This window comes from Homo sapiens, chromosome 8 (assembly GCF_000001405.40).
Source record: "Homo sapiens chromosome 8, GRCh38.p14 Primary Assembly".
Lineage (NCBI taxonomy): Eukaryota > Metazoa > Chordata > Mammalia > Primates > Hominidae > Homo > Homo sapiens.
The window spans coordinates 12,147,108-12,161,661 of NC_000008.11; the positions used below are offsets into that span (position 1 = coordinate 12,147,108).

At 39.0% G+C, this 14,554-nt stretch overlaps 1 long non-coding RNA gene and 1 pseudogene across 1 annotated transcript in view; one reads left to right on the forward strand and one right to left on the reverse strand.

Moving 5' to 3' along the window:
- The window catches only part of FAM66D (family with sequence similarity 66 member D), a 35,408-nt gene extending 31,326 nt beyond the window's left edge, over positions 1–4,082 (forward strand). The window contains exon 6 of the long non-coding RNA NR_027425.1: positions 3,890–4,082. This is a non-coding gene — a long non-coding RNA (family with sequence similarity 66 member D). The remainder of the gene's footprint in view (positions 1–3,889) is intronic.
- DEFB109D (defensin beta 109D (gene/pseudogene)) lies at positions 3,856–10,927 on the reverse strand (annotated as a pseudogene).

The window sequence follows — 14,554 nt, forward strand, 5'->3', positions numbered from 1 at the left end:
AAGTGACTCTTGTTCTGGATCTCCATGCTAACAAACATGCACCAGCTTTCAGGAGGTAGTACAGCTGGCTGATGGGGCAAGGCTTCTTGAGGACATGGCAGGAGTCAGAAATCACACATGCTGCCCAGCAGCAGAGCTCATGACAAACAGTAAACCCCAGCGAAAGGACCTGGCTGCCCTTTCTGCCATCTGCTCTCCCATGACCTCTCTTGACTGGTACATCTAGGCACTGGAATAACCTTCACTGGCTATAGGAGGGCATAATCCTCAGTATTCTCCCACCTGCAAGAAAGACAAAAATTAATTGAATACCATGGCTTCTGGGTATCCTTAGTGGGCTTAGCGTATTTTGCATTTGCTTTAACAGGCCAGTTATCCAGGCAGTGACTTTCAGTGCAGCTACAGTCACCTCTGGAAACCTGTGGAGACTTTAAAAATTTCCAAAAGGTCAGGAATTTTTGGAGACCTTTCTCATGGCTACGTTTCCTGCAAACGTGAATCAATAAGCTTCTGAACTGACTTAGAAAATGTTGCAGAGACTCTTGTGAACAGATAGACCCTCTCCTGCCACTCAGATAGATGTATCTGGGTCACACACACCTGATTTAACATCTCATTATCTCAGGTGGGCAACAGACAGCAATTTAGGACCTATCCCAGTGTGGATGAAAGACATTGAGTTGGCTTAGAAAAATGTTAGATAGACTAGATGGGGCAAGAAAGCCCATTCTGGGGCTCAAAAGCCTTCACATAGAGTTGCTGACACATAAAGGGTATGTATAAATTCTTTCTCAGACCATGAGATCAGGATGTACTTCATCAGTATACCATGCTGGTATAAAGAGATTCTTGCCTCCAAAGGGACTCAGAATATTTCAGGGAACCTGTATTAGTCCATTTTTACACTGTTGTAAAGACACTACCCCACACTGGGTAATTTACAAAGGGAAGTTGTTTAATTAATTCACAGTTCTGCATCACTGGGGAGGCCTCAGGAAACTTACAGTCATGGTGGAAGGCAAGACAGAAGTAGGCACCTTTTTTCACAAGGTGGCAGGGAGAGAAGTGAGTGCACAGAAAAAAAAAAAAAAAAACCACCTACTCTTAAAACCATCAGATCTCCTAAGAATTCACTCACTATCATGAGGATAACATGAAGTAAACTTCTTCGACACATGGCGATTACAGGTCCCTCTGTCGATGTGTGGGGATAATAATTTGAGATGAGGTTTGGGTGGGGACACAGAGCCAAACCATATTATTCTGCTCCTGGCACCTCCCAAATCTCATGTCTTTTATATATATTTCAAAGCCAATCATGCTTTTCCAACAGTCCCCCAAAGTCTTAACTGATTCCAGCATAACTCAAAACTCCAAGTCCAAAGTCTTATTTGAGACAAGTCCCTTCTGCCTATCAGCCTATAAAATTAAAAAAAAAAAAGTTAGTTACATCCACAGTGGGGGCCTCATGACCCTGACCAGTGCCCTATCCTACTGTGGCTCAACTGATATCCAAGATGCAAGACAAAGTCCTTTTTACTCTTTCCTCTAATCTCCTCTAGCAGAAGGAAGCAGTCTTTTTTGGAGCTGCAAGCTGTGCTGCCTGGGGTTGGGGGAGTGGTAATGCAAGTACTCCTTTAGCTGTCCTGGCTGGTGTCTCAGTAGGTTTTATGGCCACTCACCTCAGTACACTGGCTCTGAGTACAGTACTATTGTGTCTGCAGTAGTGTATGAGATGGAAAATAAGTCTCCATTCTCCAAGACTCTTCTTGAGCATCAAGGCTGCCTGATTGTTGAGCTATAGCTACAGACTTTCCTCGCTGAGCCTAGCATGCACATGTTCCTCTGCTGGAAAAAAAACAGAAACAAACAAACCACCAAACAACTTCCCACAAGTGGAATGTTCTGGGACTCAAGGTCATCTAGATTATTTTGTCCCCAGGGTGCTCCCTTGATGTGGTGTGCTTCCTCTTTCCTCAGAGTAGGAGTCCCTGAAATTCAGATTACTGCATATGCTGCTGCTGCTTCTCTGGGTCTAGCTACCCAGTGGGGCTGCCGCACACCAGGCTGGTGCTCAAGAATATCTGCAATGGATCCAGTGATATAATCTGTCCTCAAGTCTCACAGCAGTGTGTATCAGCAGCTGATCAGATGGGGATGGCAGGGGAGTGATGTAGACTCTGAAAGATTCCTTGGTTATAAATAGTCCTAGTGTGTTGTGTATTGGATTTCTCAAATGCCAGTTGTAGTAGTAATGAACTCATCACATGGACAGACTCATGGCCTCCTGCTTAGCCAGAATGATGCAAGCAATGGTAACAGTTGTGGTCACTCACAACTTTTCTCCTTCCTGGGTGCTATGTTATTCTACCTGCAGATGCTGTAAAGGACTGTCAGTAGGCCTTCAGCCAGGAGGTGGTGCTTCCAAAAGACTGCCAGCTGTGGTGGTAGTGGTGAGATTTGGACTTGCCTTATGTTACCCATGGGAGGCACTCTGGTGTCTCAGGAAATAGGTGGAGCCATAGAGCTTCTAAAAGTTTCTTCTGTTATTTGTGTTAATCTACCAGGGTAGGTGGTTGAGCAAAGCCAGGTGGGAACTAGGTCAGGTAAGGTGATGCTCTGGCTGTCTATGTGTGGGACAAGCAGTGGCTCCAGTGGGAATTGGAAGGCAGTTCTTGGGCCACTGGAGTAATTTTCCAGAGAGAAGTGAAGCTGTCTCTGCCTCTGTACAAGGAGAGTCCATATGAGGAATGGGGAGTAGCAGCTTGGTAGTAAGCCCCATCCAGCTCCCACACACTTGGCAAGGCAGGTCTCACACCCACAGTGTTCCAATGGGAGTAGCTAGCTAAGTTTCAAGAAGTCTGAGCTCAGAACTCAAAACTGACCCATACCATAAGACTCCCTTATAGAGACAGCAACTGCAAACTTCAGGCCACACCCTTCCTGATCCACCTGCAGAGCAGGGGCCCTCAGCTCCTGTGCTTGCTGCTGCAGCACACTTCCCACTCACCTCTCAGTTCTGGCCTGGGGAGTTTGTCCCCAGTCAAGATTATATCACACATTTCAGTTGGGAGGTTGTCTCAACCTGTGACCACCATCTGAGTTAGCTGGCAGACTTCTAGGAGGTCCTGTCTGAGGTAGAATCAGAAATGGCTTCCCTCCATTCTACCAGAAACTGGGAATGTGCTGGAGATTCAAAGCACATCCCAATGCCACTCCTCATATACTCACCACTCTTCCCTAAATCAGCTCCAGCGCTGAGTAGGGTTAAGGCCTTCCCTCACGGCCTGGATTGATAGGTTTCCCAGTGGAAGTGTATATCTTAGAGTCAGTTTACCCTCCTGTCACACCCTGGAAACTTACAATTTTCTGCCTAGCTTATGGTGTAAGCTGCATCCTGCCGTTTCTTTCAAATGGTCTGTGGCTTATTTCAATTTTCCTGTTAAATTCCTGTGTTGCTTCTTGAAAGAAAGTTCACAGTGTGAGTCTCTACATGCCATTTTGTCTTTTCAAGTGCAAGAGGCAAACTAACAATGCCTTCAATCCACCATCTTGGAAAACGAAAGTAACAGTTTTCTCATTTTTAAAAGTTTTGTTAAGATCTGTTAATGACTCACAAAGAAATAGTACTTGGGTATATTTGAAATTAGTATTTATTCATTTATGTTGATAAGTGAAAATGCAAGATGGTTATCAAGATGGAATTACTTAATATGTATATTTTAATGTTCTTAGATGCAAATAACTTCACTTTTGATGTATTTTTATTTTGTCTCAGTTTCATTTCAACTTAGGTTTAAGGGGTTCTTGATAATCTGACATGATAAGTGGTGTTGGAATTGGCATTAAAATCCACCATGCTCTACAACACTTCATCCTTCTTCGGCAGGCACCAATTTGATCTTCTACTACTTTGCAGACATCTCTTCTGCAAACACCAGACAAATTGAGACAATGACCTTCCACAGGACCCAAATCACCTCTTACTGCAGGAAAGAAGATCCAGTGAGAAAATTAGTCCACAAATGGAATGTAAATCCATAAACACTCTTAAGTAACAGAATAAATTTAGTATGAACGTTTTTATGTGGGAGCTCTTGAAATGGTTGCTGCTCATATGTCAGAGACACATGCAGTTTAAGAAAGGTAGCAGTTCCAATCCTGGTTTGGCCCAACAGTCACTGCATTTTTGGTGGGGAAAAGGGATGTGGGAGGAGATGGTACCTCTTCATCTTTTTCTCTGGGTTTTCTGTCAGAAAGGGATGTTGCTTACTCCAGTGGCAAAAAATGCCAGTGTCTTCTGCCAGAGTGGGTTACTGAGGGCCTTGGTGGTTCCACCTTGTGGCTGATACAGATAGTCCCTTTCTGTTTTTGTTTCTAGCCAAAAAAGATGTTTCTGGCATCTCAGGTATGCTGATTTCAGCAGCTGTTTTTTCTATATGGCTAGTTTTTTTTCTTTCACTCTCTCTTTCTCTCTCTTTTTTTTTTTTTTTTGTTGGCTTCACTGTGTTGCCATAGTTTCTTAAATGGTCCCTTGAACCCTGCCAGGGCTATTTTGGTTTGTACATAACTATCTATATATATTTTTCTTGCGGGGAGGGTGTAGAGCTAAAGGCTGGTATATCCTGCTCCTGCTCCCCAAAAGTGACGTTATTCCCCCAAGCTAATATTTCAGGCTTTCAATTTATTCATGCTTTCATCTGTTTAAACATAAGTAGAAATTACTTTTTCTCTCCACATTTAGATTTGATCTATCTACTTTAATTGCTAGTAGTGTCTTAGGCATAGAATAGATTAGTTAGAAAAAAGTGTTTTTGACATTATAAATGATTCTTTCAATTTGTGTCTAAAAGTGGAAAATACTAGAAAGCTTAACATTTATTATTGTATTCAGACCAGTATTTCCTCCAGATGACCTTTATTACAACAAAGATAATTTAAGGAAGATCTCTCTAATGGTAAAGCTGAGGGCTTTGTGCTATTACAATATCCTTCAAATAAAGTGACGGTCTGGTGGAAATAACAACTAAAGCAAGGATTAGGAAGAAAACAGTTAATACCTTCATTTTGGTCTCACTCTGCATTAAGAGTTTTCATTGTGTTAAGGATTTATTATACATTAAGTAATTTAATGTTCATTTAATAATAAATGGATCCTATTAAATATGATTTTTAAAATTATAATCACATTACTTTTATTCACATCTGTCCACTGATGCCATTCCTAGATGAGAATGGTATCACATTATTTTATTTTTTTTCATTTTGCTACCTCTTTACTTACTTAGGATTATGCTGTATCAAACAATGTATGTGTGGGAGTAATGGATGATTCAGGAATGTATGAGGAGGAGGTTTAAGCTCCTTAACCTTGAACAATTAAAATTAGCAACATAATATTGAAATACATACAGAACACTCAAGTGGTACTTTCAAAATAGTGTATATTTCCTCTGTTTATTTGTAGCTTTTAAACCCAGCTAGAAGCATTCTATTTCCTTTAGGTACCATAGGTCTGAAAGTCTGTAGTGAAAACTACAAGTAGTAAATGATGCTAATTCATGTGCTTCCGCCTGTGGAAGAATTGAATGTCTTAGATAAAAAAAGATGGTGCAATTGGTGTACAAAGTATCTAGAATACAATTTGGTGGTGGTTTTTTCTGTTTCCATAGTAGAGTAACATATATAATATTCCCCTTTCATCAAGTTATTTAAATATGCCTTTGAATGGGGAGAATTGAAAATAATACTGTGAATCCTGGTAAACATTTTAAATTAATGAGAAGAATATTGCCTTTACAAAGTCAAAATTTGTCTGAATACAACGCATATAGCAATTTCATAGCAAAACACTTCCTTCAATCCTATTAAAATCAGAAGGAAAAGAAGAATACCCACTGTCAATGTTGTATTAATATAGTTCTAAAAGTTCTGGACAATGAAATATGTTGTAAGAAGAGAAGTCAGGGGAGACTTGAGCCCATTGTTTTTCCTCTCCTTCCATACCTCCCAAAATACCACTGGAATGTTGTAACATTTTGAAGAATCTATAGCAGTGTCCCAAATCATAGAATAGTATGAATACATCTGAATCTGAGATATCTCCAAAAGATACAAAATATCTGTGATTAGAATGAAAGAAAGATTTAGGCTTTTGGCCATGATTGCAAGTTAGCTGTTCTTAAATGACTGCTGCTATCGAACAAATACATTTTAGAGGATCTCTTTGAAACATTTCTATCCTTGAAAATGGTTAGGGAAGTTCTTAAAATATCTCCTCTTTCAAATACAAAAAATAGTCTGTGAACTGGAGCTTGAGCACTGGGTACTTTGTATTGGCTAGCTGATGGAGGTGGGTGAGGGTTTCCCAGATCTTCTAGGATGATCTGCTATTATCAGTAATGCTAATGGTGGTACTACTGACTCTTGGGCCATCAGAAATTCCAGTTCGTTAATCCTGGAACTTCCATATTGAGATAAAGCATTGAGTCAGTTTCACAGAGGAAGTTTGGATAATAGCATTCTCATTTCAGACCGTAGAATGATGGCAGATTAAGGAAGAGCAATGAGTTCAGTATTAAAAATGATCAGGTAAGCAAGACAGCATGAATAAAAGTTAATGAAATGAATAGCACATTTAAATCCTTGAAAACTAAATGTGTTGAAATTGTCAATGTGGAGAAATAATTAAGCACCTGTGTATTGATTGTTTAAAGAAACAGTCTACTATTACAAAGATGTAAAATCAATAGTAAAACAATATAGATGATAGAAAAAATGGGCAGATCTGGCTGGGCGTGGTGGCTCATGCCTGTAATTGCAGCACCTTGGGGGGCCGAGGCGGGTAGATCACGAGGCCAGGAGTTCAAGAACAGCATGCCCAAGATGGTGAAAACTTGTCTCTACTAAAAAAAAAAGTATATATATATATAAAAATTAGCTGAACATGGTGGTGGGCACCTGTAGTCCCAGCTGCTCAGGAGGCTGAGGCAGGAGAATCACTTGAACCCGGGAGGTGGAGGTTGCAGTGACCCAAGACTGTACCACTGCATTCCAGCCTGGGCAACAGAGTGAGACTCTGTCTCCAAAAAAACAAAACAAAACACAAAGGCAGGTCTGAATTAAAAAAAAATTTAAAAATAAATGCAAGTTATTAATGATATATTAGATATAGGTAACAGGATAATTAGTAAAGAAAAAAATGCTTAAATGATATACCCAGAATGTAGCATGGAAACACAAGGTCTAACATTTATTTAATTCAAATATGGGGGGAGAGAAGTGTAAGAGGATTCACCGTTTCAAGAGATTCTCAAAAAGAAATTAGGAGAAAGTATAAATCCATTGATTCAAAGAACGTATTTCTAACAGATGATATAAAAATAAATTCACATTAGTTAAATTATAAATTATAAAACATTAAAACTAAACACCAGACCATATAAACATTGAAAAAAGGACAATTTATCATGAAATAATATTTATCTGATTATTATAGTAAAGCAAAAACTAAAAATGGGTAAACTAGTATCAACAAATGTTGAGAGAAAATAACTGTTAGTATAGAATTGGGTACTCAGTAATGCTGTCTTTCAAGAACAAAAATAAAAATATGAAATTGACAGATAAAAACTAAAATTGTTCACTATCAAGAGATCTGCAGCAAATAAAATTTCAAAGGCTATATATCAGGAAGAAAGAATTTAACCCAAAAGCTGATCTCAGAGTCAACTTGGAATTCCATAAATATCACTAAACTGATGATAATAGTAATACTTTCTGACATGGGGGGGATCCTGAAAAGAAGTGAACTTTTACTTTTGTTTAGAATTTAGAAAGTTATAGAAAAATGCTCTTGCCCTGACCAAGAGAATAAGCTGGATAATCTATAGATCATAGATTTCATTTTAAAAGACAGAGCTGAGGTCTCAAAAAAAGCTAATTAACTTAAATTCAGAGTAATGAAAGCCTACTGAAAAAAGAACGGATCCACAGATGATTTGTGTGTACCTGAGTTGCAGCAGCAGAAACAGGAGGAAGCTGCCCTTGATGGAGATAAGAAGGAAACAAGTGAACCTCAAGCAAATGTTGAAAGGCTGAATGTGGGCTTGTGATAGTTTAGCAGCAGTAGGGGCCCAAACACACTCACTCACTCACTAATGCTTTAATGCTTTTCTTTTCTTTTCTTTCTTTCTTTCTCTTTCTCTTTCTTTCTTTCTTTCTTTCTTTCTTTCTTTCTTTCTTTCTTTCTTTCTCTCTTTTCTTTCTTCCTTTTTTTTTTTTTTGACGGAGTCTCACTCTGTCACCCAGGCTAGGGTGCAATGGCACGATCTCGTCTCACTGCAACCTCCGCCTCTAGGGTTCAAGCGATTGTCCTGCCTCAGCCTCCCGAGTAGCTGGAACTACAGGCACGTGCCACCACACCCTGCTAATTTTTTGTATTAGTAGAGACAGGGTTTCACCGTGTTAGCCACTGACCTCGTGATCCCAAAGTACTGGGATTACAGTGCCTCGGCCTCCCAAAATGCTGGGATTAACAGGCGTGAGCCACGGCGCCCGGCCCCACTAATTGTTTTTTCATGACCTATCTTGTGTGCTCCTAGGTAAGATCAGATGGAGAGCAGGAGAACTACCTGAGACACTTTTGAGGGACAGGCATGTAGGAACTGCTGCAATTAGAGATCAAAGAAAGGTAGAGGTCGCACTGTGAGAATCGGGGAAAATCCTCTGTTACTGGGGAGTGGGTTGGGGAGCAGAGAGAAACCCCCTTCACTCTCTGTTCTCACAGGTGCATAAGAAGAGAGGCCTGATGAGGTCTGAAGGCAGGGCAGGACAGGTAGCTGAGAGAAGTAGATTCTCTGGTCTTTCACTGAGTGTGAGGCAGCTACTGCCCGAGGTTGGGCAAGGGATGGAAGCCCTGAGAGATTCTTGAGGTGCAGAGATAGAGGCTTGCTGAGGATGAAAGTGGACAGAAAAGCTAAGAGAGGCTCCAATGCTGACCATGGCACTCTGCAAGAAGAGAAAAAATGTGTATGTAGAGGTTTATGAGGGAAAATCGTGAGTTTGGTTTTGGATATATATTACTTTTGAAATCAAGTGTCCAAGTAGATATACCAGTTATGCAGTTGGATAATTTATTTAAGCCTGGAGTTCAAAAGGAGGTCCAAAAGGAGAATTGAAAGGGATGAGACTTGCTGAGCCCCTCCAAAGAGTGTGTGGTGAGGGAGAAGAGAAGAGGACCAGGAACTGAGCTCTGCAGCTCTCCTATAGGAGGTGTGATGCAAAAGATGAGGAAGAAACAAAGGAAGCCGAAGTGGTAGCTCCAGTGAGACAGGCTGAGACTCAAGTGAATGTGCCGTCCTGGAAGCCAACTGAAGAAAGTATACTGTGAAGAAGGAAGTGATTATTTGTGTCAAATGCTGCTAATAGGCCGATTAAAGTCGTAGTGAAAAATGATCATTGGATCTAGTAATGTGGAGATTATTCGTAACTTTGACAAAAGTGGTGTCAATATCATGATCGAAAAAGGGAGAAAGAGCCTGATTGGGATATATTTAAGAAACAATGAGAGGAGAGGAATTGAAGACAGAGAGTATGGACAACTATTCTAAGATGTTTTGTTGAAAAGTAGAGCAAAAAATGGGATGACAGCTGGCATCAGAAGAAAAGCAAGGAAATTCTTTTTCTTAGATCAGAAAAACAACAGCATATTTGTATGCTGATGGTAATAATTTACTAGCATCAAAATTAATGACACGGTCATGATATAGTGAACTGCAACAGGAAAATCCCCAGGTACACAGCGAAGAGGGAATATAATACACAAATTTAAAAATTATTTGGATCTCTGAAACATCTGTTTTGATATTAACCTTTCATTCCTGCAATAGTTATTTTAAGCATGTTCTCATTTTCTCTTGTTCAGTGTTGCCAGGTTATTATAAAGTGTATTAGACTTTTTGAAAAACATTTTTAAAAATACTAGTTTTTTCTCATTTGTTTCATTAATTTATATTTTGTATTTATAATTTTCCCTTTATCTTCTTTAGGGTTATTATGCTGTTTTTTTTTCCCAGAAGCCCCCAAAATGCATGCTTAGCCCATTAAATTTTAGCCATTTTTGTATCGAAAGTTATGTTACCCATTTCTGTGTGGTTACCTGTAATATACCATGAGCAGCACTTCTTGGTGTCTTTGCTCCTTATTAATTCACTTGTCTGAAGTTCCTTTAACTTTCCTTTCTACTTTTCACTTTCACTTTGCAAATCATTTTTTATTCATAACCGCATAAAACATAATTTATTTTGAAAAGTCTCTCATATAATTTTCACTTATTCTAGGATTATAATTTTTCCGTTTGTCTCTTCAAATAAAACCTTCAGATTTGTCAACACTCATTAAACAGTAGCTCCTATTGATAGGATTCCATCCATCTCTTTTGACCTAGTAAGTGAATATAATAATAGATGCCACAGAAATTCAATCCTGTCAGATCTAACTGCCTACATATAAATTTCCATGTCCCGCAAAGGCATCTCATTGAGGTCACATTCTGTTGTATCTTTACTTTGTATCTTGAGGTGCTTGGTGGGGCATGGAAATTTACATGTAGGCAGTTTCATCTGATAGGATTGAATTTCAGCAGCATCGATTATTATATCCACTCACTAGGTCAAAAGACATGGATGGAATCTTATCAACAGGAGCTACTGCTAAATGAGTCCCTTTTCTATTTTTCCCTATTATAATCCTAGTGAAGCTGTAAATATTAGGTTCTTGAACCCACAGGACTGATTCTAGTATCTTGTCTGGCCAGAGATATAGCCTTCTGATCTGCAGAACCTTATAGTAATCAGCTACCAACTTACCTGGGGATAAGAGAATTTAAAAAAGAAGGAGAATAAGGAGAAGCAAATGGAGTCTCATGGCTGAAGGGCCAGCATCAATGTGGGTTGAGCCTGGAGTCTCTGGGCATCGTGGGTCTAGGCCTTTTTATGATGCTCTCTGAGTCTGTGATTTGTTCTTGGTCAGTAAAGCCTAACGAAAAGAGAATAACTAAATCTCCCACAGGAAACTTCCAGGGACACACAAGTACATAAATGTGGTGATATCTCAATGGATGAGAAAGCAGGTGAATGCAATTTATTTCCCAAAGATTCAGGATGTCTTTATTGTCACCTGCTTTCTTTATTATTTTTGAAATGCACATGCAATAATCATTGATCTCACTTTATACATCTATCGTTTGCCAGGCAATATAGTAGGAACTGAAGTAAAATCGTTATACACAAACAGTACATAATTAATGGATATAGTTTGGCAAGTTTGCACATATATATTATCTTGTTACCACACCAATATCCAGGTAATAATATATCCATCACCTCCAAATGTTTCCTACGTCCCTTTGTTGTTGTTGTTGTTGTTGTCAGAACCCCTAAGATCGACCCTCTTAACAAATTGTTAAATACAAAATACCTCATTGTTAACTATAGGTACTATGTTTTGGAGCCTATCTCTGTAATTGACTCATTTTGTATAGCTTTAACCCTTGAACAATAACTCCCCATATTGCTCTTTCCCCACTCAATAAAACACCAAACTCTTTTAAAGCACATTCTATATAATCCACTTTATGAAGCTTTTCCTAACACTCTTTTATCTGTTCCCCCCCAGTAAAGGGAACTACTAATATAACAATTACCTATTTTGGATTATTGTGTCTTTTACAAACATTGCTTCATGAACCCATTTAACACTTATCTCCCATTATCTTATTATGAAGTAAAATAAAACTTGACGTGATTTTAAAAATGAAATCACAAAAGGGCTTTGTAAAATTATGATGTACCATTGCTTATTTGTAAGAATTCAAGTTACACTAGGGGTTTCTAAAAATCTTTTGTCTTTATTTGTTGCATATTGTAAGCACAGTGTCTTTTCCAGCTATTTGCTTTGGGAAGAAAAGTTAGAGTTACAATGAACAGCATAGGCTATCTTGTCTAGTCACTTACATTAGAGATGAGGAAATGAGCTGAGGGAAAGGAAGAAACTTGCGCAGGATCACCCAGTGATCTAGCGAGGAAGGCGATAGGGACAGCACTAAGGCTTGGTATTCTGAGCCTCATTCTATTTTCTCCTCTTGCCCCTTCTCTGTTTCCTCCTCTCTTCCCCAGCCTTCCAGAAAAACTTTACAGTTCTGCTGCAATGTCTACCTAAGGACATCCAGAGGAGACCTCACTTTTCATTAGACTGCTTTTTTAAGCACTGTCTTGCATTTTCTTCTTCAGTCTTGTTGTATCCCATTTTTGGCTATAAGTAATGCTTCTGCTGTGCTGTTCCATCCAATTAGTTTCTTCTATTTTCATTGAGAGAAAATTAAAACAAAAAACCATTAGTTTATCTAAATTTGGAAGTTTTAAAACTTGATTAGAATTTCCTGGGATATGGATGTAAGACATATATTTTAAAATATTTTTCATTTTCAAAATTAAAAATCAAACCCATATATTTATCCAGGATGACTACTTGATAACTACTAATCAGATGGGTCTTCAGCAACGCCACAAGGATAAACATCTTATAAATCAATTCCCTGGCGTTATGTGCTACTGAGTTAATACAATTTGATATGGTATCACCTTTAAGCAGGCTTTACGGAGTCACACAAAGGAACAGCACAACAGAACCATAGGGTGGAATGTATAGGGAAAGCTGGGATGTAAAACCCAGCCTTGACTCTGACACTTACTCCACTGTTGAGAAAAGCACTTCAGTTCCCAGAGCCTTAATATTTTCCTCTATAAAACAGGAAAAATAGAGCCATATTTAAGGTTTTGTCAAATCTTGTTGCTGAGTGATTTTACAGTGTCTGCAGCTATCCTCTCTGCTAATCATAACAAGGCTAACAAACTGTTCTTTTGTTTAGTTAAAGTTATTTTTGCATTTGTTTACAAATTGTTATTCTTCCCTTCACAGAAAAGGAAACATTTTAAAGGTAATTTATAAAAGGTTAAGAGTCTCTTACATATCAACTCTTCACAATGTGACAGAGTAGCTTAACCCCATCCCTAAGAGTATAGTTTCAGATCAGCCCCAAACCTATGTGGAGTGTGGGATACAGAATATATTTCAAACACATGCAAAGGCACACACACGTGCGCGCGCGCGCACACACACACACACACACACACACACACACAGTATTACCTAAGGCAGAGGTGCAGATGACAATCTTGGATAGACAGCTCAAAACTCTTAGTACTAAAATAATCCTAATAATAATTTTCCTTCCAAAGTTACCACCAACAATCAGATCTCTTAAGGGTTGGTGCCTTAGGTTTTCGAGCCTTGTGTATCTTTTGGCTTTCTTTTTTGGTTGTGTGCTATTTATCTCATAGAAAGAAACCTCTTCTTCATCCTATGCCAGTGCTGTATTGTAGGGGCTTGTTGACATCTTCCTGATATGTAGCAATCCAGGTGACTGGCCTCTGGCTTCTTAAGAGCAAGGCCATCACATGCTTTTTTTTTTCTTTGTCTGCTTGTTTCCTTGTAAGGGTCCCACATACAGTGGGCGCTTAACAAAAATTTGATCAACTGAACTCATTTTCTATCTCCGTTCTCTCCACTTCAATCTTTCCCTTTTACTTCTTCCAGATTAGTTTTCCTACAGCAAAATGGGAATTGTCCAAAAACTGCCCTTCATCTTTATAACTTGAAGGATTCATTTACCCTAAGCCGTCCTTTTAAATTTACTATCACAGACTAGATAGAAATGTCTGGGTTCACGAAGAATAGGCATGTGTGCCACCATATTTTCTGTTGAAAACTTTGGAAAGTGTCTTTTAGCAAACAACATGAAGCATAGAATTTGACCATCCCTGACAATGTACAAGGATCATCCACATTCTCACATGTCCATGGCTACTTTCCCACTCCTTCCCCAACCTTGAAATCTTGAATTCAAAAGAAAATATGAGAAGACAGTTTGCCTCATATAAGGCAACAGGTTGCTTAATCTTTCTTGCCTACACACATTCAAGAGCTCCAGAAAATTTTCTGATCTACTTAGAATGCCTGATCATCTTCTTGGGTAAAAGCAATAAGTCCTACACAGAATCACCAAAACCATGTCTGTTCAAGGGGTCTTATACCTGTGATTCATGATTGCATGCTCAATGCAGAAGGGCGTGCTCTGTTGCAGGGTCATATCTGGTCATTGTGTTTAAGTTCTAATTTAGAAGACTAGTTGCTGAGGAGGAAGAGGGAAGGATAATGTTAGGAAATGGAATCAAACTTAAGGGGAAAAGTCCAGTACAAGGGACCAACAGTATTGAGGGGCAATAGGTTGAAGATTTCTTAGATTATTGCAATATTTTCAAGGAGGCCCCACGAATCCTTCCTGGCTGACCCCACCAAAGCTTTGGCATAGCCTTTATGCCAAATGTCTTAGACTAACTAACTTTTCCAAAAGAAAATAGAGGAGTTATGGAGACCAATATTTAATAGAATAATGCCTGATTATTTTGCTTTTGAGGTCTAGTAACTGCTAGTA